The sequence below is a fragment of the Homo sapiens genome, chromosome 22 (assembly GCF_000001405.40).
Source record: "Homo sapiens chromosome 22, GRCh38.p14 Primary Assembly".
Lineage (NCBI taxonomy): Eukaryota > Metazoa > Chordata > Mammalia > Primates > Hominidae > Homo > Homo sapiens.
The window spans coordinates 29,719,980-29,739,225 of NC_000022.11; the positions used below are offsets into that span (position 1 = coordinate 29,719,980).

Here is a 19,246-nt window from a genome sequence, read left to right on the forward strand (position 1 = left end):
GCGGGGAGCGCAGCCAGCGCGGCACAGAACGAGCGAGCGAGCGAGCGGAGAGGCGGCTACAGCCTGAGCGCCGGGCCGGTAGCGGCCGCGCCGGCGAGCGGACTAGCGGGCGGCGAGCAGCGCGGAGCGCGCGGGGCACCGAGGAGCGGGCGCGGCGGGCACCGCGCGAGGCAGCCGGAGCTCTCGGAAAGGCCAGAGCGGCGCCGCCCCCGCTGCCCCTGCGGGGCCCCGGCTGGGAGCCCGACGAGGGAGCGGGCGGCATGGCCCGGCGGCCCGGGGCGCGGGGGCGCTAGGCCCCCGGAGGGGCGTCCCCAGCCTCGCCGCTGCCGCCGCCGCCCTCCGCAGCCGCGCGCCCCGCCCGCTCCAGCCGCCCCCGGGGCCGCCACCGGCCCATGAGCCCCGGCCTCAAAGTTTGCGGCGGGCGGGCGGGCGCGGAGCCTCCAAGATGCCGTTCCACCCGGTGACGGCGGCGTTGATGTACCGGGGCATCTACACCGTGCCCAACCTGCTGTCGGAGCAGCGCCCGGTGGACATCCCGGAGGACGAGCTGGAGGGTGAGTGTCCGCCGGGATCCCCGCCCCGGCGGCCCTCCTACCTGTGCGCCCAGGTGAAGCGCGGGCCAGGGGCGCGGGGGCGGGGGGCGGGGGGCGGTCCGCAGGTGCCGGTTGCCAGGTGGGCGCCCCAGCTAGCAGCTGTGCCCCGCGGCAAGACCTGTCCGCACCCCGGGGCGCCGCGGTGGGGGTCGCTCAGGCGGAGAGCGGCCCAGCCCCTGCCCGCGTGGTCCCCAGCGCTGCGGAAACTTGCCGGGCCCCGCAGCGGGGTCACGGGGCCGCGCAGTCGGCGGTGACGGTGCGGCAACGCGGCGGACTGGGGCGGGGGTCCGCGCTGAGCCCCCAGCGCCGGCCCGGCCGGAGCACCCGCATCCTGATCCCCTCCGCGGCGCCCGCCCGCGGCTCTCTGCTCGCATTGACATTCCGCTCGTGTCGCTTTAAAAATTCAATCTGCTCGGGCAGCAGCAGAAGGGGAGAGGGCGACTGCCCTGCTCTTGCCCGCTGCGGGGCCGCCCCCGTCCCCACCTGCGGCCGTAGCCCCTTCCCTGCAGCCCTGCGGGGACCCCCAGCCCGGCGCGCCGGGAAGGCGGCCCGGGAGGCGGTGGCGACAACAAGTGGCCGGACTGGGCGGCTAAGTCGCGATAGCCAAGCCTGGAAGGGAAAGGCAGAGAGGCCAGGACCCAAACCCGCCCCCACCCCGTTCCCCCTGCCTCTCAGACTCGCAGGGGGATGGCAGGCCGCTGGCTGGGCGAGGTCAGAGCAGAGGGCAGGGGCAGGGGTCCGGGACAGTGTGTCCTGAGGAGCAGTGAGACCCCTGGGGCCCGCCCAGCTCCTTCCCTGCTGGGCTGGGGGAGGTGCTGAGGTTTCCCCTCCCCCCAGACCTCCTGGAGCCCCCATATGGAGTGGAGTGGGGGATCTGGGCTGATGGGGGTCACGGCCTCCTGGGATCTGCATGTCTGCTGTTGCAAGGGGCTGAGCTCACCCAGAGGATGGGCCTCTCGGGGTACCTTGGATCCAGGGGTCTCTGAGATCTGGAGGCTCATTAGGGCCTGGGAGGGTGCAGCCAAGACCAGCACAGTCAGGGAGGATGGTGGGAGCCCAGGGGAAGCCATGGAGGGAGGTCCTCCCTCAACCCAGGCCCAGGGTGAGGGCAGATCTTAGAGGAGTCAGAATGGGTCGGGGGAAGATCCAGAGAGAGAAGGCAGCCTCTGCCTCGCTCACTGCACCATAGGCATGAGCCACCAGGCTCCTCACCAACTGCCCCTGCAAACCCTCAGAAGCGGGGAGAGCTGTGGAGACAGGGTCTGGGGTCTGATGCGGACAGGACAGATGGATGATTGGGGCCCCCCGACATGACCTCACCATTCACCCCTAAAACCCAGGGCCAGAGCCTCCTCCAGAGCCCGGGGAAAGGAGGGGTACGATGGTGGGGGGCGAAAGGTCAGGAGATGGAGCATAGGCCTTCTCCTCCCCACCTTTGTCCCCTCCGGCCCTGGGCCACCTCAAACCTCCTGCAGATTTTTCCCTCCAGAGGCCCTCATCCATCCCCTCCTCCTGACCATCCAAGCAGGAGTCACCATGTCTCCCAGACCCCAGGCAGCTTCCGCTTCACTCCCTCCCCTTGCTCCCAGCACCCCCACCAGGACCCCACCACCCCAACTCCAGCCCTTTCTGGGTCCCTCCTCTCCTGATCCCCAGTCCTGGAGTGCACTCCCTGAGGAAGGGGAGAGGCTGAGAGGCTGGCTGCAGGGGCGAGGGGCCGCAGGGTGGGCAGTGCAGGGGCAAGGCCGCAGGCTCCCCAACCAACGACATGGCGTGCTGGCAGGAGCCCAGCTGCGTTAGTCACCAGCCACAACAAGTGCCCTCCCCGCTTCTCTCCTGTCCCCTTCTCCTGGGCCCTGGGGAGCTGAGGGGCCCTGACTCAGGGGGCATCTGAAGGGCAGGGCCCTCCCTGGGATGGGCAGGTGGGGTCATGGAGTAGACAGATGCCTGGGTGGTCCCAGCTCATCTCTGGCCCAGTGGGCAGCTACAGATGAAGGCAAGAAGTTTTCCATGACCAGCCCCCTTCTTGGCTGCAGGTGCCCTAAAAGCCCTCTGGCGGCCCCAGGTCCCTTTCAGCAGTCCTTGAATGCCAGGGCTGGCCATTCCTGGCACGGATCCCCCTCTGCCCTCTCCGCCTCTGCAGGGCCTCATGAGTGCTCCTGCCCCAGGGCGGTCTGGGCGAGACCCAGGCCCTCTGCCGGGAGGACGCCATTCGCGGAGGAGCCACATGTGCCAGGAAGAGGGAGCTGGGCAGCCCGGGATGGAATGCTGCAGACAGTACGTGCCTGCCGCAGAAATCCAGGGGGCGGTCAGTCTGAGCGGAAAGGAGGACCAGGCAGGGAGGTGGGAAGCACAGAGTTAAGATGAGGGCTTCCCAGCCAGGCGGCGCTGGGTTTGAGTCTCTGCACCTTCAGCTCATGGAGTGACCTTGGGCAATCGCTCACCTCTCTGAGCCTTGGTTTCCCCACCTATAAAAGGGGGGCTGGTGATGGAGGATGCAGTGAAAGTACCTACCTAGCACAGGGGGCTCAGGGACCCAGATGCAACATGAGGGGAGGCCCTGCGGGGGTAAGAGGCTGGAGCGTGCAGGGCCCAGGCCCGTGAGGGTGTGCAGGAGGCTGAGCCAGAAGGGCAGGCTGGCAGGGAGAGCTGGGTGGAAAAGGCCTTGAAGGTCTGGAAAAGGTCTCTGGGGACCTGTGGCCCTGGGGAGGCATGGAGGGCAGTTGGCAGGGTAGGAATGTGGCTGCACAGAGCTGGCCTGAGGCCCACCCAGGCCCTGTGAGGGACAGGCACGGACTCTCTTAGATCCCCTCTGTGTGCCCACCATGGCTGGGACATACACCTTTTCCAACATACACACACAGCAGAGTCCTCCAGGAACACTGAGGCTGGTCCCAGCACCATCAGCTGACTCGAGCACCCAAGGGTGGGAATGGGGTGGCTGCAAGTCTTAGCCCTTTCTGGCCGAAGAGAGGAGGAAGGAGTCAGACCTCCAGGCAGACAGTCCCCAGGGTAGGGCTCTGGGGCTGACACTTGGCCTGCCCAGTCTGTGAGTGGAGCCTTCATTGAGAGTGGCCAAATGGGGGCCTTTAGGGCAGGGGAGGCTGGGGAGTCCCCTTTCCTACCTCTCTGCCCTGCAAGGCCAGGAGCCGCCTCTGCACAGCCAAAAGCTCAGGGAGGCCAGAGTGGTGGGGCACGGGGCCAGTGCCACGGAGAGTAGCAGCCACTGCGGAGGATGGACACTACCCTCTTCAGTGACCTCCAGCCAGTGCCTGCCCTCTGGACTCTGGCTGCCTGATGGAGTGCGGATGTCCCTTGGAGTCTGCTGGGGACTTGGGCCCTGATGAAACTCCACAGGTTGAGAAGGACATTGGGGGATGTTAGGCTGGAGGTGGCAGGTAGGGGGCAGGTCAGCCTGGAAACCTGGTGGCCCTGCCAGCCCATTGCCAGCATCCTCATGCCAAGATGGTACCCGTCAGGCTACCCTTGGCCTTACGGGACGGGAAGGGAGCAAGGCTTTCGGGGAAATGCACCCAGCTGTGGGGTGCTGATGGCACAACGGTGGCAGGAAATCACGACACCTGCCCCACTCAGGGAGCCCCCGGCAGAGGCCGGGCTTCAGTGATGGTGCCGGAGTCGCTCCCCATTTCACAGATGAGACACCCGAGGCTTAGAGAGGGACGTGACTTGCCCAGGCCACTGGGCTGCTAAGCAGGATAGCCAGAATCCAAGCCCAGGCCTCTGGTCCCAGCGACCGCCAACAGGAAAGGTGGCCTGGTGTCCCAAGCTCACTCAGTCCTCCCTCTTCTTCTGGCTCTGCTATCTGGGACATTCTGATTTATAGCATCCATCTCTGAGCCAGGACCAGCCAGACACATGCTTGATTTTATTGCTTAATCATCCCAGCAGCCCCATTGTACAGGTGAGCAAATACCTGCCCAAGGTCACCCTGCCAGGATGTAGGAGAGCTGGGACTTGACCTTGGGTCTCTGCCACTTCAGGCTGCCTCCCTGGCTGGGAAGGTGGTGCCTGAACCCGGCCTCTGTGGGCGGGTGGGAGTCGGCTGGGGCAGGGCTCCCAGCACAGGCAAAGGCACCAAGGTGAGACTTTGTGGTGTGTTGGATGTGCCAAGGAGGGGTGTTAAAGGGACTCATGCATGGGGAGGTGGCAGTGTGTGGATTTACCTAGTGGCCTGGGAAGGTAAGCCTTGCCTGAGAAAAGGCTGCTGGGCCTGCAGGGCTGCCTCCCAGCTTATCGCCTGCCCGTGCATCCCAATATTCACCTGCCTTCCCCTGGCTCCCCTCGGCCCAGTGCGTTTTCTCAGGGTCTCCAGCAAAGGGACTCAGGGGCTCCAGCAAAGCAGCCCTGGGCTCTGGGAGCTCCCGAAGGGTAGGAGGGATGACCTGGAGCTCAGCTCACAGCAGGCAGGGGAGGGGGTGGCTCCCACTGCATCCCCTACTGTGAGTCCAGGACTTTGCCATCCCTCCCTGACATCTCCCAGGCAGGACCCTGCAGAGGAGGAAAGGGAGGAGGAGGAGCGGTGCCTGACCCTGGTCCTCCTTCCCCACACCACCGTCTGGCCCCCACTCGTCTTCAGCTTGAGGCCCCTCTTCCACGGGTGGCCCGCAGGCAGGTGGGGATGGCATCCTTGGGGGCTGGAAAAGGGATCAAGCAGCCTCCTCAGCCTCCCTGTCTGCTTCTCGGCTGCTTGGGGAGTGGAAATGAACGTGTCCCCTAACCAGGATTGTTCGTGGGCTCTGAGTAGCGGCTTCACAGCAAGCGGTATGTGAACTGCTGCTCAGAAGAGCCAGAGAACTGCGTGCTTCAGATGGATGGGCTCCCCACATCAGTCATTCATTCATTTCATCATTCATTCAGCAAATGTTTATGCTCGAAGAGGCAGGCCCCGTTCCAGGCAACAGGGACACAGCCACGAACAAGACCAGCCCCTCCCTGCTGTCATGGCCCTTGTAGTGCACAATCCAGCGTGGCCCATGCAAGGATGGGGCAAGAGCAGGGCCTGTGGGGGCCCAGAGGAGGGCCAGAGCTGGCCAGTGGGGAACAGGGAGGGCACCAGGGAGATGGTGCCGTTCAAGCTGAGAGCTGGGGTTGTGTCGGGGTTTGCCACGGCGAGCAGAAGAGCACTTCAGGCAAAATGGGCTGCGTGTTCAAAGGACTGGAGATGGAGCAGTCCTGGTACCCACAGGACCGAGAGGGCCCCTAGCCTGGATGGAGTTCAGGACACCTGGGGTGGGCAGAACATGTGGCCGGGCGAGGAGGCCAGCAGTGCTGGCCGGAAACCTAAGCGTGTGTGTGCAGATGCCTCCAGCTCTACCTAGAGGCTCTAGGGACCGGAATCCCCTCAGCAGCCTCCGTGGCTGACAGGCCTCAGCTCACACATCCCCTGTGACGGGGAGCTCACCACCTCTTTGGTGGCCCAGGAAAGCTCCAGGTGGGAATTGGCCTGGAGTTCCCAGAGTCCAGGGTTTGCAGAATCCTGTGGCCCTGGCACAGACCTCCCCGCCCAGATGCTTCCCTGGCCCCGGGGCCATTGGTTAGGAGACGAGATTCCCAGGTCCTGGTGGGATGAGTGAAGGGGAAGTCCAGAGTCAGAAAGTCTGGGGGCCCAGGCAACCCCGGTGCACATGTGAGCCTGTCTGACCCTCAGGCCTTGGGTGTGGACACCAGTGGGATAAGCCTGATAAGGGTGGGGCCTCCGCCCAAGCCACCTCGAAGTGTGGCCTGGGACATGTGGCCATCCTCTCCGGGCCATGGCCCCTAGTCTGTGGTGAGACCAACAGGCTGGGCTAGGCTCCCCTGTCCCCCGAGACTAGGGAATGACTCCAAAGTGCAAGGTCCTATGAGCAGTTTCAGGGTTCATGGACCCCTTAAGGCAAGGCCTGGGCCAGCCCAAGCAACAGCAGCTCTGAGCCCACGCTGACTCTGGGCCGGCCGCTGGGGCTCTCTCAGCCTGTTTCTGGTCTGCAGCACGGAGCACCTCGCGTGTCTCTACTTTTAAACACACAGATACACACCCTCTCTCACATGAGGAGATTGATTCTGCCTGCTGAAAGCTAAAAGTCCACCCAGGGGAACAGCTTAGGCAAAGGCCAGGTGGCTGGCAAGCAAACAAGGAGACCCCCGGGAGCCGGAGAGAGCATCGAGCCCCGCCCCCCACTCCCAAAGGCAAATGCTGTTTAGGGCCCTGCTGGGGCTGTGATGATTAAGGGACAGCAGCCCTTAAAAACAGAGAAACAGAAGAGACAGCAGTACAGCTAAGGTGACAGGTGAGGACCCCCTCAACTGTGTGCCAGGGAGTCCCCACCATCATTCTGCCCATTTCACTGTGGGTAAAACTGAGGCTGGCCCAAGGTCACAGGTTGGGTTGCTTGTTCCCCGGGCTCCCAGCGCAGTGCATTGCTCACCACCTGAGTCACCGAGGTCATCAGGCCTCGGTCTTCTGCTCCGTACAGTGTGGAGGGCGACCCCCCACCCAGTCTGGTCTGGCCTGGACCTGGAGGGGGGCTCCTTCCCCCTCTGTCTTCCCTGAACCAAAAGAGGTCTGTGCCGCCTGTCAGCCCATTAGTCTGGAGCAAGCTGCCTCACGTGGCTGCCATTAGCAAGTGTTGGCCGGTGTTAAGGATCTAAGGATCCGAGCCTGGGGGAGGAGGCGCAGCGGGATGGAGATGGTGGGGGAGAGGGGGATGAAAGGAATGGGGGCGGGTGGGGAAGCCGTCAGCAGCCGCGGGGGCCGGGGAGATCCAGCATCCTCCCCTGCACGTGGTCCCCACCACACGGGGTCGTTGTGAGCACACCAGGAGAGGCTGTGAGAGCCTGGCGCAATCAGATCCCAAGAGGTCACTGCTGGGGGGCCTTGAGCCCTGCTTTACTGCCCTGCTCAGCCTGCCCAGAGGTCCCAGAATACGGCACCCTTGTGCACCCTCGGGCCATGCTCTCACCAGATCTGCAGGCTCTGGGTTGGGCTCTCAAGGCCATGCTCAGGCTGCAGGGTCGGTGATCCTGGGGGTCTGGAAAGGGGGTCTGTTGGGGACCGGGGTGAAGTCCCAGCCTACTCCATTCTCTCCTCAGAGATCCGAGAGGCCTTCAAGGTGTTTGACCGTGACGGCAATGGCTTCATCTCCAAGCAGGAGCTGGGCACAGCCATGCGCTCACTGGGTTACATGCCCAACGAGGTGGAGCTGGAGGTCATCATCCAGCGGCTGGACATGGATGGTGAGCACCCCCCCGCCTCGGTTTCCCCACCTGGCATCTGGGCCCTGGGGGTGGGGCAGGGGCTGGGGCCTGAGCTGCTGAGGCTGCATCCAAATTGGGTCTCTCGCTCCCCTGACTCCCACCCTCAAAGTCCGTGGCAGGTTGCAGCCCGGTCTGGCCCCATTTCTCAGCCTGGAGAATTGAGGCCAGAGAGGTAGTGACAGTCCCAGCCACATGCAGGGCTCAGAGATGGCTCCTTTCACTCTGTGTTGAGAAGTTTTAAAGTACAGAGAAGTAAAAGGATGCAATAAATACTCCAGTTCCCACCACCTGAGATAAAATGACTACTTGAGTTGTGTTTGCCACCTGGCATTTTATTAAGGAAAAGTTCATAAGGAATAGTGATGCCAAGCCCCCTCTTTATCCCACCCGGGCCCTTCTTCTCCTCTTCTCCATCCAGAGGCCAGGTGACAGCCTTGGCAGGTTGCCCCACTCTGAGCTTCAGTTCCTGTCTATATGGTGGAGGATGGCCCACCCCAGGATGGCCGCAGGGTGCTGGGAGCAACGGAGGGTTCTGGGTGAAATAGGAGGGTCACGGCCCACCTGCTGTCTACCTCCACCTCCCCTTGTAAGGCCTCATCACACTGGGTGGCTTCAGCGTCAGCCCAGAGCCTGGCACTTGGTAGATGCCCCTGACACTGACTCAAGGCTCAGAGAAGGCGGGCACCTGCCTAAGGCCACCCGGTAGGCCCAAGGTGTATCAAGACTCCATCCCAGGACCTCTGGGCCCTGGGCTGCAGGCCTGGGCCCTACCCACTGATTGATTGGACCTGTGCCTCCACCAGGTGATGGTCAAGTGGACTTTGAGGAGTTTGTGACCCTTCTGGGACCCAAACTCTCCACCTCAGGGATCCCAGAGAAGTTCCATGGCACCGACTTTGATACTGTCTTCTGGAAGGTATCCCCTGGCTAGTTGGGACCCAGGGCTGTGCACACTGTGGAGTTCTGTTCTGGAGCCAGTGAATGGCTGGGCCCACACTGTAAAGGGGGGATGACCACTTCAGGCTTGTGTCCACTGGACATTTCACCTCTCAGAGGGCCATGGGCTCCCTGGGGAGGCCGGTGTTGGTCAAGGACTCTCTGGGGGAATGGAGCAAGTGTTTTCCAGCCCCCCAGAATCTAGAGGCCTGTCACCGGGTCTGTATGGCCGTGGGGTGCTGGGTGGGGGCTGCGGTGGCTCTCAGAGCACCGTGTTGTCCCCCTCCGCAAGTGCGACATGCAGAAGCTGACGGTGGATGAGCTGAAGCGGCTGCTCTACGACACCTTCTGCGAGCACCTGTCCATGAAGGACATAGAGAACATCATCATGACGGAGGAGGAGAGCCACCTGGGCACAGCCGAGGAGTGTCCCGTGGATGTGGAGAGTGAGTGGCTGGCCCTGGAACCCCACGGGTGGGCCCAGTGACTTGGCCAGGGGGACGCACGGGGTGGGGAGAGTCTGCAGAGGGGGGCTGGGGGCCTCCTTGCCTGTCCTAAGCCTCTGTCCCATTGGGGCACCCCATGGGATGAGCCCATGTGCCGAAGGGCAGGCGGCTCCTGACTCCATCGCTTTGATGTCCCCTTCTGTCTCCCCGGTGCTCCCGGCGGGCGGCCACAGCCTGCTCCAACCAGCAGATCCGCCAGACTTGCGTGCGCAAGAGTCTCATCTGCGCCTTCGCCATCGCCTTCATCATCAGTGTCATGCTCATTGCGGCCAACCAGGTGCTGCGCAGTGGCATGAAGTAGACGCCACCTGGATGCCCCATCCACCGCATGCGGTGCCCGTGGCCCGCCCCACACCACCGCCGCCTGCAGACCTCTCCCTTGGCCGGCTCCCTGGGCCGCCATCTGCGTGTACTTCAGGGCCTGGGTATCCAGCGAGCCCTCCCCACCCACCCACGGTCCTCACCTGGAGCTGTGGCCTGGCTGTGGAGGGCCGGGTGGTGGCTCTGAGGATGGTCCCCAGCCCCACCCTGTCCCCACCCTGGCCTGTAAGGAGCACTCACTCTTCCTACCATCCAGGGGCTCCTGGGAAATTAAGGAGGGATTTGCACAGGAACCCCCAGGACCCAGTCGCTGCTGTGGTCCCTTGGGCAGGAGCGGGCACCCTGTGCCTTGAGACAGCAGCCTATCTGGGGCCACACAGCCAACCCAGCCCTGGTCCCTGAGGTCTGCCCAGGGCACAGGGCACAGGCAGGGACAGAAAGCCTTCTCCTGGGGGAGGGTGGGAAGCCAGGGTGTCCTGGGCCTTGCTGCCTGGCATAGCCTGAGGAGGCCCCTGGTCTTCTCCTTGGGCCCCTTCCTCTGACCCTCGTTGGACCCCAACCCAGACCCCCTTTTCTCCATGTACCTGCTGGGCCAGCCCATTTCACAGGTGAGGAACCCGAGGCTCAGGGCCCCGAGACTTGGCCTCAGTTCTTCCTTCCACAGGGATTTTCAGGAAAGGCAGAAGCTCGTGGAGGATGGGCATCTGAGGTGGCCCTGCAGCCCCCCACCTTCTGGCCCTCCCACCAGAGGCCCAGCTACCAAGGCCACATTGTCCACCACCCCAGCCTAGAGCCTAGAACTGTAGTCCAGCTGAGGAAGGAGGCAGAGCTGGGGCCTGAAGGCTCTGAGCAGCCTCCAGCCAGGGGGCTCCTCCAGGGCTGAACTTTGGGAGGGCCCCTGTACTACCTCCTGGGCCAAGAAACTGGCACAGCCCCACACTGTCAGTGCCAAGAGGCTGCGCCAGGCCACTCTCTCAGCCCAGGGCCTGCCCTCCTGTCCTCCCACTTCTCTACGCCCTCAAGGTTGGAGACCCCGCTCCCATGCCCCAGCTGTGCCATCCCAAATACTTGGGCAGCAGCTCAGCATGGGCAGACATGGGGGCTGTGGATTCTTCCAGGGCGGGGATGGCAGATGGAGCCCTTGGGCTCCTTGGGCCTAGAGCCACTTCTTACCAGGCAACGGGCACAGCCACCCTGGCACACCCTCTGCCTGGCCGTGCTGAACCTCTGCTGGTCCCAAGGGAGAAGGGAGTGAGCGTGGGTCACCTGGGGAAAATCTCATCTGATTCCCTCCTTGCCCGACCTCTGCTAGGGGCTGGAGAACAGAGCTCAGAGCACCCAGTGTAGGGAAACACAGCCAGACCACTGTGGTGACAGACTTTCTTTATAAACATTTGGAAGTTTTCTCCCCCATCTTCTTAAGAAGCAGGGGGGCAGGTGGAGGAGAGTGAGGGGAGAGCTGCCCGGTGCAGACCCAGGACGAGGGCTGCACTTGGTGTGGCCGTGTCCTGAGCCTCAGTGAGGCTGGGCAGATGGTCTCGGAGCCTCCATGGGGCGTAGCAGGAACCGGGCTTGGCTTCCTATTGTGACTGATGAGAAAAGTGACCACGTGGGGGTCAGTCGGGGGCAAGGGGCTCAGCCCCACTGGACTCTGGGCTGCAGAGGCCACCCCCCAGGTGGGGGTGCCCGCAGGGATGGAGGCAGCTCCTGAACTGGTGGCCAGCCCACGGGGTACTGGAAGACAGTGGTTCTGATGGGTTCAGCCCTAGAGAGAGAGAGAGAAGCGGGGAGAATAAGAGTGCACTACAGCCCAGGCTTATGCCACCCCCAGCCCACCTGCCTCACCACCCTGGCTGTGGGGAGGGTCAGCTGCCTGCATGACTTTTCTGGAAGGCAGAGCCTCGAAAATAGGCAGACCGTTTGAGCCAGCGACCTCACCTCTAGGAACTGAGCCCAAGGAAATAGCGGGGTTGCAGGCAGACATTGAGCTGCGAGACAATGGGAATAACCTTCGTGTCCACCTGTGGGGGACTGATTCAATACATATGCACGTCCACAGCAGAGAATGCCATGCGGCCTGTGTAAGAATTAAGGCAGATTTATATGCACTGATGAGGAAAGACATACTGTGTGATAGGGAGAAAAAGCAGCTTATAAAATAATGTATATAGCATGATACTATTTTTGTTTAAAAATATATAAAATATATAAATGCATAAAAAAATCCTGGAAGACACAGCAAAATGTTAACAGTGGTCCTATCTGAGTGGTGCCATTATGGGTGACTTTTTTACTCCTTTATATTTCTCAAAAGTTTTACGAGCACACAAGCCTTTGAAATCAGAAAAAAACATTGTCTAAATTTTTTTTTAAAGCCTAATTTCTCATGCTACTCACTGTCCTCCTCCTCAACGTCCACCCCGAGCCACCTCCCCTGGAACTTGGGGTCCATGTAAGTACTTGCCCTAGGAGAGGCATCCTCCGTGCCCAGCCCGGGGCACCCTGCCAAGGCCCAGCGATGGCCCCCCAACCATTCTTCCACCTGTCCCATACTCAGATCCTTCTGGCCTTGGGCCCCACGCATGCTGCTTCTCCAGGGCCGCATGGCCCTTCTCAGGCTTCGAAGTACTTTGAACCTTTGAGCACTTTGAACTCCCATCACCCCAGCTGCCTATACAAGACCTTTCTGGAAGGCAGAGCCTCAAAAACATGCAGACCCTTTGAACCAGCAACCTCACCTCTAGGAACTGAGCCCAAGGAAATAGCAGGGTTGTGGGCAGCCATTGAGTTACAGCAATAGCCGTGAGACAATGGAAGTAGCCTTCATGTCCAGCTGTGGGGGACTGATTAAGTACACGTGCACATTGGCCGGGCGCAGTGACTCACGCCTGTAATCCCAGCGCTTTGGGAGGCCAAGGCGGGTGGATCACGAGATCAGGAGATCGAGACCATCCTGGCTAACATGGTGAAACCCCGTCTCTACTAAAAGTACAAAAAAAAATTAGCCGGGTGTGGTGGGGGGCACCTGTAGTCCCAGCTACTTGGGAGGCTGAGGCAGGAGAATGACGTGGACTAAGGAGGTGGAGCTTGCAGTGAGCCGAGATCGCGCCACTGCACTCCAGCCTGGGCGACAGAGCGAGACTCCTTCTCAAAAAAAAAAAAAAAAAAAAAAAGTACACATGCACATCCACATCCACAGCAGAGAGTGCCATGCAGCCGCCGCCAAAATTCAGGCAGGAGCTCATCTGTCTTCCACTTAGGACTGGAGTCCCCAGAGGATGTAGACCAGGGGATAGGGGTAAGGTGTATTTGTACCCCAAGGCGCAGGGCCAGGCCTGGTGCCAGGAGGCCACCCAGTGATTGTGGAACAAACAGCAATGCTGAAAGATCTTACTGACCAGGTGCTATTCTGGGCCACACACCATGACCTAGAGAAACCTTAAGAATCCTCAGGCGAACCCCATTTTATAGATGAGGAAACTGAGGTGCAAGGAGTCAGTCACGTGACCAAGTGACACCCTCGGGATGAGGCCTGAGGGCCTGGAATACCAGCCCCACATCGGCTGCAGACACGGCCTTCCCACTTCAGCTCCCTCTGCTCTGGCACACTCCCACACCCCAACATCCAGCCTTCAGGCAAGGTGAGGCCCTGGCAGCTCCTGGCAGGCTCAGGGGCCCAGTGGCCAGCCCTCTGCAGAGAGAGAAGGGCTTGGGCCTGCGGAGAGGGGTTTGGAGAGGCCTCTGACCTCCGAGGGGGAGGTGGAGAGCCGGGGTCAGGAGCCCTGGGAGTTTCCCCTGCTGCACCCACCCAACCTGCCCCTCTCTGGACCAGACCTGCCATGCAGAGTCAAGGACTCCGGGGAGCTCTGGGTGCAGCCTCCAGGACCCCCAGGTGTGAGAGGACAGGGACATCCCCTGCTTCATGGCTCACTGCCTGCTAGAAAGTGCAGAAGGCAGCTCTTGACATGATTTATGGCACTGGGGAGATTTCATAAACTCCACCAGCCGCAGAGAAGGCGGGGAGGCTCCGCAGTTGCTGGAAGGGAGTGCCCTAGCTGCCAGCCAAGCCTGGGCTCCCTGCAGGGCCACAGGGACAGTGGGGATCCCCAGGGAGGGTGTGATCCTGGGGAGCCCCTTCCCCTGAGCCTCAGGCCCTTCCTCTAGAAAATGGGGCAGATTCCTGGGAACCTGGGACCTCCTGGGTCCAAGTCTCAGCCCCGTGCCCCTGCCTGCCCTGAGGTCCCGCCAGTAGACAGGCATACCCAGTGCCTGCTCACACACACTGGCACACTGCCAGGGCCCCAGACACGTGAGCCAAAGCCTTGGGGACATTGAGGTGCGTGTCTGGCACAACTCTGCTCGTAGCTTCTCTGGTGACCTGTTTGTCCTGTGCGTGAGGACAGGAGCCACTCTCTTGCATTTTCCCAGCCGCGGTCCTAATCAGAGGAAACAGAGTCGAGGAGGAGGATGGGCCAGGATGGCAGCGCCCGCCCAGAGAGGGGTGCAAAGGAGAGATTAAGAGGGATAGAGTCGCAAACTGAAGAGCCAACAATGGGCAGCAGGGCCAGGCCTGGCCTTGCCGAGGGATTAGTCTGTGTGTCTGAGGCCGCCGCTGCTCTTGACAGATCCCTCAGGGTCAGTCTGCGGAGGGGGATAAGAGCTATGCCACCAGGCTGGGGCTTCATGGACCCCCACTTCCCCATGTTTACAAGGAGGGCTGGCCTGGCTCACTGGAGAGGCTCAGCTCAGCCAGCGGAGGTTGGAGCCCGCAGGTCTCGGTTCCCCGAGGTGGGGTGGGCAGCTCTCTGTGCCTTGTACTCTGGGGGAGGAAGCAGATACCCTGAGAGGAAGAGGGGGTCCCCCAGGCTTCCAGACCAGGCCCCACAAAAGGCTCGCAGCACTAACACCTGGGGAACGCCCGAACAGCAGCCTAAATGCTCATTCATGCAGTAAACCTGTCCTGGGCACCCCCAAGTCTGCCCAGGCCATGCAGGAGAAGCGGGGGCTGGGAGGGGTGATGTCTCAGCTAGAGCTTCCAGGACAAGTCTGACTCTGCCAGGCAGAGAGGTGGGAGGCAGTTTCAGGCAAGAAAATAGCATGCGCAAGGTGCTCCAAAATCACAAATGATGCCTCATCTAAGCTGCTGCCGAGTGTCCAGTGGGACCACCAGTCAGGCCAGAGGCAAGAGGTGAGAAGGTGAGATCCGACTGGCTGCGGAGGCATCAGGGAGGGTCCCCCGCCCCAGCCCCAGCCCCAGCCCTGCAAATGGGGCTGTGCGGCCAGAGGTGGAGGATGTGGGGAAGCGCCAGGGCCAGGGTGCATCAGGGCTGCTGTGTGGAGGATCCCCCGCGGGAGCAGAGGGAAGGTGGGAGACCAGGGAGGGGCCGCTGGGGTGCCCAGGAGAGCCAGGGTGGAGGAAGAACATTGTTGCTGCAGCACTGCCTCCAGGCTGGAGAGGGAGCCAGGAAGAAAGTGAGGTAGCCTTGCGGGGGCTGGGGCTGGAATCCACCCCCTCCCATTAAGCAGGGTAGGGGGTGTGGATGCAGGGGAGGGGCTCAAAGCCCAGGACGGAGGGAAAGGCTGCTAGGCTTCAGGAGACCAGCCTGCCCGGAGACAGTTATGGACGCCCAAGGCAGCAATGGCAAAAGCAGGAATAAACGGTCACCTCCCTTCCCACAGCCCCTTTTTCTCAAGGCTGGACAGGCCTGCTCTGCCTAGAGAACAATTCATTTTGGCCCCAAGCCCTCAGGAGGCAGGAGGAAGGCAGGTGGCAGATCCCCTGGAAGGGGCCAGGCTGGGTGGCCAGAGGGACAATGGCCCAGAGCACAGGGCTCAGACCCCCTACAGCCAAGGTGGGCTCCAGTTGCAGAACAATCATTCCCAAAACAGTCACTGCCATCAGGGCAGCCTGCTGCTGCCACTGCCACTACCCACAGCCACACAGAGCCTTGGGCCAGCCCTGAACTTGGTGTCAGAGGCAGCCTGGGGTCTAGACACAGAGCAGGGACCTAGCTCTCTCTCAAGTGAGGGCTAAGGGCAGCAGGGCACGTGTGATCAGGATGGCCCCACCTCCTGGAGAGGTTAAGATTCCTCAGATGCAAAATGGGGGTGCCAATCTCCCTGAATGCCCCCAAACACTGGGAACACTGTAAGCACCAAACTCAATTCTCATATGGTCACCACTTCAACCTGTGACTAGGAGCCAGTCATTCAGCCTCAGTTTCCCCATCTGGTACCCTAGTCCCCCAAGTCTCAAATTCATAGCGCCTTGTTTCAGCACAGGGATGCATCTGTCTGGAACCCAGGCAAGGACTCTGGGGCACCCCATCTCTACCCCACCCATTGGTGCTCACTCCAGTTCAGCCACAGGGACTCCATGAAACCTTGTCACAGCCCCAAGAGACAGCCGGGCCTCTGTGACTCGCTCCCAGCGGAGGACACCATGGACCCAGAGCAGGGAGGCGAGTGGCTGGTGCAACTCGGTTAGCAGGTGGCAGAGTGAGGATGGGACTCATAGGAGATCCTGTCCAAGTAGCGGTGCAGGGGCCAGAGCTTTCTGGGCAGCCTCCAACCAGCTCAAGCCTTTTGCACACGGGCTGAAGGAGTCTGGGGTGTAGGACGTGGATCCCTGGACAGCAACCAGTCCCAAAGGAGGTGCTCACATGCACAAAGACAGGATAGAACCCCTTTAGACGGGACCCTTCAGACAGGACCAGGAGGAGAGAATGTCACACTCCAACGTTTGAGTCATGTCTGTACCACATATACTTTTAAGGTGGGGAGACAAAAACTGAACACGGATTTAAAATAAAGGTAAAAGACAAAGTTAGTTTTAAAACACCTTTACTGGCTGGGTGCGGTGGCTCATGCCTGTAATCCCAGCACTCTGGGAGGCTGAGGCAGGTGAATCACCTGAGGTCAGGAGTTCGAGACCAGCCTGGCCAGCACAGCGAAACTCTGTCTCTACTAAAAATACAAAAATTAGCCGGGCATGGTGGTGCATGCCTGTAATCCCAGCTACTTGGGAGGCTGCAGCATGAGAAATGTTTGAACCCAGGAGGCGGAGGTTGCAGTGAGCCGAGATCGTGCCACTGCACTTCAGCCTGGGTGACAGAGCGAGACTCCATCTCAAAAAAAAAAAAAAAAAAAAAAAGGCTGGGCGCGGTGGCTGACACCTGTAATCCCAGCACTTTGGGAGGCTGAGGCGGGTGGATCAGGAGGGCAGGAGATTGAGACCATCCTGGGTAACATGGTGAAACCCCGTCTCCACTAAAAACACACAAAAAAATTAGCCGGGCGTGGTGGCGGGTGCCTGTAGTCCCAGCTACTCAGGAGGCTGAGGCAGGAGAATGGCGTGAACCCCAAGAGGTGGAGTTTGCAATGAGACAATTGCACCACTGTACTCCAGCCTGGGCGGTAGAGCAAGAATCCGTCTCAAAAAAAAAAAAAAAAGCCGAGTGTGGTGGCTCATGCCTGTAATCCCAACACGTTGCACTTTGGGAGGCCGAGGCAGGCGGATCACCTGAAGTCGGGAGTTCAAGACCAGGCTGGCCAACATGGTAAAACCCCATCTCTACAAAAATACAAAAATCAGCCAGGTATGATGGTGGGTGCCTGTAATCCCAGCTACTTGGGAAGCTGAGGCAGAAGAATCGCTTGAACCCAGAGGCAGAGGTTGCAGTGAGCTGAGATCACACCACTGCACTCCAGCCTGGGCAATACAGCAAGACTCCATCACAAAAAAAGAAAGAAAGAAAGAAAAAAAACACCCTCATAGTCTCTTTCACTGGAGCACAGAGAAGGCAAGAAGTTTGGCCTTCACCTCCTGGCAGAGCTCCAAGGGAAGGCCTCTTCCCCCAGACTATCTGGCCAGGTCCCCTTGGCCCAGGCCAGGCCACCATTTTGTGAAGCCACACCACAGAGGTAGTCAGGTCTGAAGCCCGTTGCAAGATGGGGAAAGCAAGGTAGTCGGGATGGGAAAACGTGTTCAAAGTCGCATGCGGCTCCTGGGCGCAGCTTTATCCCCTTTTCCTCCCCTCCCTCCTTCAACTGCTGGAGGAAGAGCCCAGGAGCTCAGGCTTCGGTTTTGGCCGCCAGCCTTTGTCTGCCCCTGCCTGCCCTGTGCCCCGTTCTGATGTGAATATCACCCGAGGCCCTTCCCTCAAAGAGGAGGACCAGGGACATCACGAAGCACACACCCCAAGGACCCCGATCCAGCAGCTCCCCTTCTACTTGTGAGCGTCCCGAGGGCTGGGGCCATCTCCAGACCCCCTTCCTTAGAAAGGCAGTGGGACCAGGACCTCGTCATCACGCCTGTGCAATCCCGGCTCTACATTTTCCCGTCTGTGTGCCCTCGGGCAAGTCGCACCCTCCCTGTTTTCCCTTCTGCAAGGCCCTAGAGGCAACAGTGGGCAGCAGTGCATGGTGACCACAGCCCAGGCCCCTCCCTCTGGCAACGGACTTGTGACTTGCAGCCAAATCAGCTCTGCCGCCTGCCTCCCCTCCAGCCAGCACAGACTCCAACAGGGGCCCAGCTTTGGGAGAGGCTCTTTCAAACACCCCTCAGCCTCTGGCCAGGGCCTGGGGCCCCAAGGGCTCCTCGGGGAGCTATGTGTAGGCAACTTTATTCGGCCCCTGGGCCTGGGCAGTTCATGGAGATTCCTGAGCCTCAGGAAGGGGAAGGCGGGCTGGGGTTTTGCCCCCAGGGGGCACAGCGGGAGGGAACCCTGGGGACCTGTACCTGCTACTTGGGGCTGAGCTCAGCCGCTTGGCTCTCTTCTCCAGCCAGTCCTCCAGATGGCCCTCGGGGAGCTCAGGAGCATCTAGTAGCCACTCCCTGGCTCGCCTCTCCTCTGTGGGGACAGGGAGACAAAGGCAAGTGAGGGGTACACTCCTGCCTGCCAGAACCCTACCCTCTCACAAAGCAGAAGCAACTGGTAGGCCCTGAGCAAGCCTGGGAAGTTGCAGCAACCTTCCAGGAGGATGCACCTGGACTGCTTCTCCAGGCCATCTGTGCACGAGGGCCCAGCACTCGGCCTCGCTCTGTTTTCCCATCAAATAGAGACAACCCCGGCTGCCTCCAAGCTCTTGGGGAGCTGGAAACAGGACAGTGCTTGTAGAGAACCTGGCCCTGGCCAGGCGTGGTGGCTCACGTCTGTAATCCCAGCACTTTGGGATGCCAAGGCGGGCGGATCACCTGAGTCCAGGAGTTTGAAACCAGCCTGGCCAACATGGAGAAACCCTGCCTCTACTAAAAATAAAAATAAAAAAAATTAGCCATGTGTGGTGGTGGGTGCCTGTAATCCCAGCTACTTGGGAGACTGAGGCAGGAGAATCGCTTGAACCTAGGAGGTGGAGGCTGCAGTGAGCTAAGATCGCACCACTGCACTCCAACCTGGGCGGCAAGAGTGAAACTCCATCTCAAAAAAAAAAAAAGAGAGAGAGAGCCTGGCCCTAAGGAGGGGTCTGAATCTGAGGTGCAGGGAGGCAGTGAGGGCAGTCGAATGGGGTCACATCTCAGCTCTGTCACCTGCCGGGTCTTTGACCCTGGGCAGGGTAATGAGCCTCAGCTTCCCTGGTTTTTATTCTCATAAGCTGTCCAACAAAACCTGTTGCTCAACGAATTAAAACCAATCA

General features: G+C 60.8%; 2 protein-coding genes across 4 annotated transcripts in view, besides 3 other annotated features; one reads left to right on the plus strand and one right to left on the minus strand.

Annotated features, from left to right (window-relative positions):
• Positions 1–23: 23 nt before the first annotated feature.
• CABP7 (calcium binding protein 7) lies at positions 24–11,854 on the plus strand. Its single transcript, NM_182527.3, has 5 exons — positions 24–554; positions 7,683–7,826; positions 8,651–8,763; positions 9,076–9,229; positions 9,463–11,854. The coding sequence occupies exons 1-5, from the start codon at positions 446–448 to the stop codon at positions 9,588–9,590; spliced, it is 648 nt and encodes a 215-aa protein (NP_872333.1). The 5' UTR covers positions 24–445; the 3' UTR covers positions 9,591–11,854.
• Positions 1,333–2,123: an enhancer, noted in NCBI's record as "H3K4me1 hESC enhancer chr22:30117301-30118091 (GRCh37/hg19 assembly coordinates)". NCBI's record gives its function as "activates a minimal SCP1, AML or CMV promoter by ChIP-STARR-seq in naive H9 embryonic stem cells {active_cell/tissue: H9 hESC(naive)}" and the evidence as "EXISTENCE:reporter gene assay evidence [ECO:0000049][PMID:30033119]".
• The window catches only part of ZMAT5 (zinc finger matrin-type 5), a 36,052-nt gene continuing 27,782 nt past the window's right edge, over positions 10,977–19,246 (minus strand). For all 3 annotated transcript variants that reach the window (NM_001318129.2, NM_001003692.2, NM_019103.3), the window contains 2 exons: positions 18,351–18,462; positions 10,977–11,375 (listed from right to left, as the gene is read on the minus strand). In NM_001318129.2, the coding sequence (NP_001305058.1) occupies positions 11,246–11,375; positions 18,351–18,462 (242 nt within the window). In that variant the 3' untranslated portion in view covers positions 10,977–11,245. The remainder of the gene's footprint in view (positions 11,376–18,350; positions 18,463–19,246) is intronic.
• Positions 13,456–13,545: a silencer, noted in NCBI's record as "silent region_13596". NCBI's record gives its function as "represses an Ori minimal core promoter by ATAC-STARR-seq in GM12878 lymphoblastoid cells {active_cell/tissue: GM12878}" and the evidence as "EXISTENCE:reporter gene assay evidence [ECO:0000049][PMID:35858748]".
• Positions 17,291–18,144: an enhancer, noted in NCBI's record as "H3K4me1 hESC enhancer chr22:30133259-30134112 (GRCh37/hg19 assembly coordinates)". NCBI's record gives its function as "activates a minimal SCP1, AML or CMV promoter by ChIP-STARR-seq in primed H9 embryonic stem cells {active_cell/tissue: H9 hESC(primed)}" and the evidence as "EXISTENCE:reporter gene assay evidence [ECO:0000049][PMID:30033119]".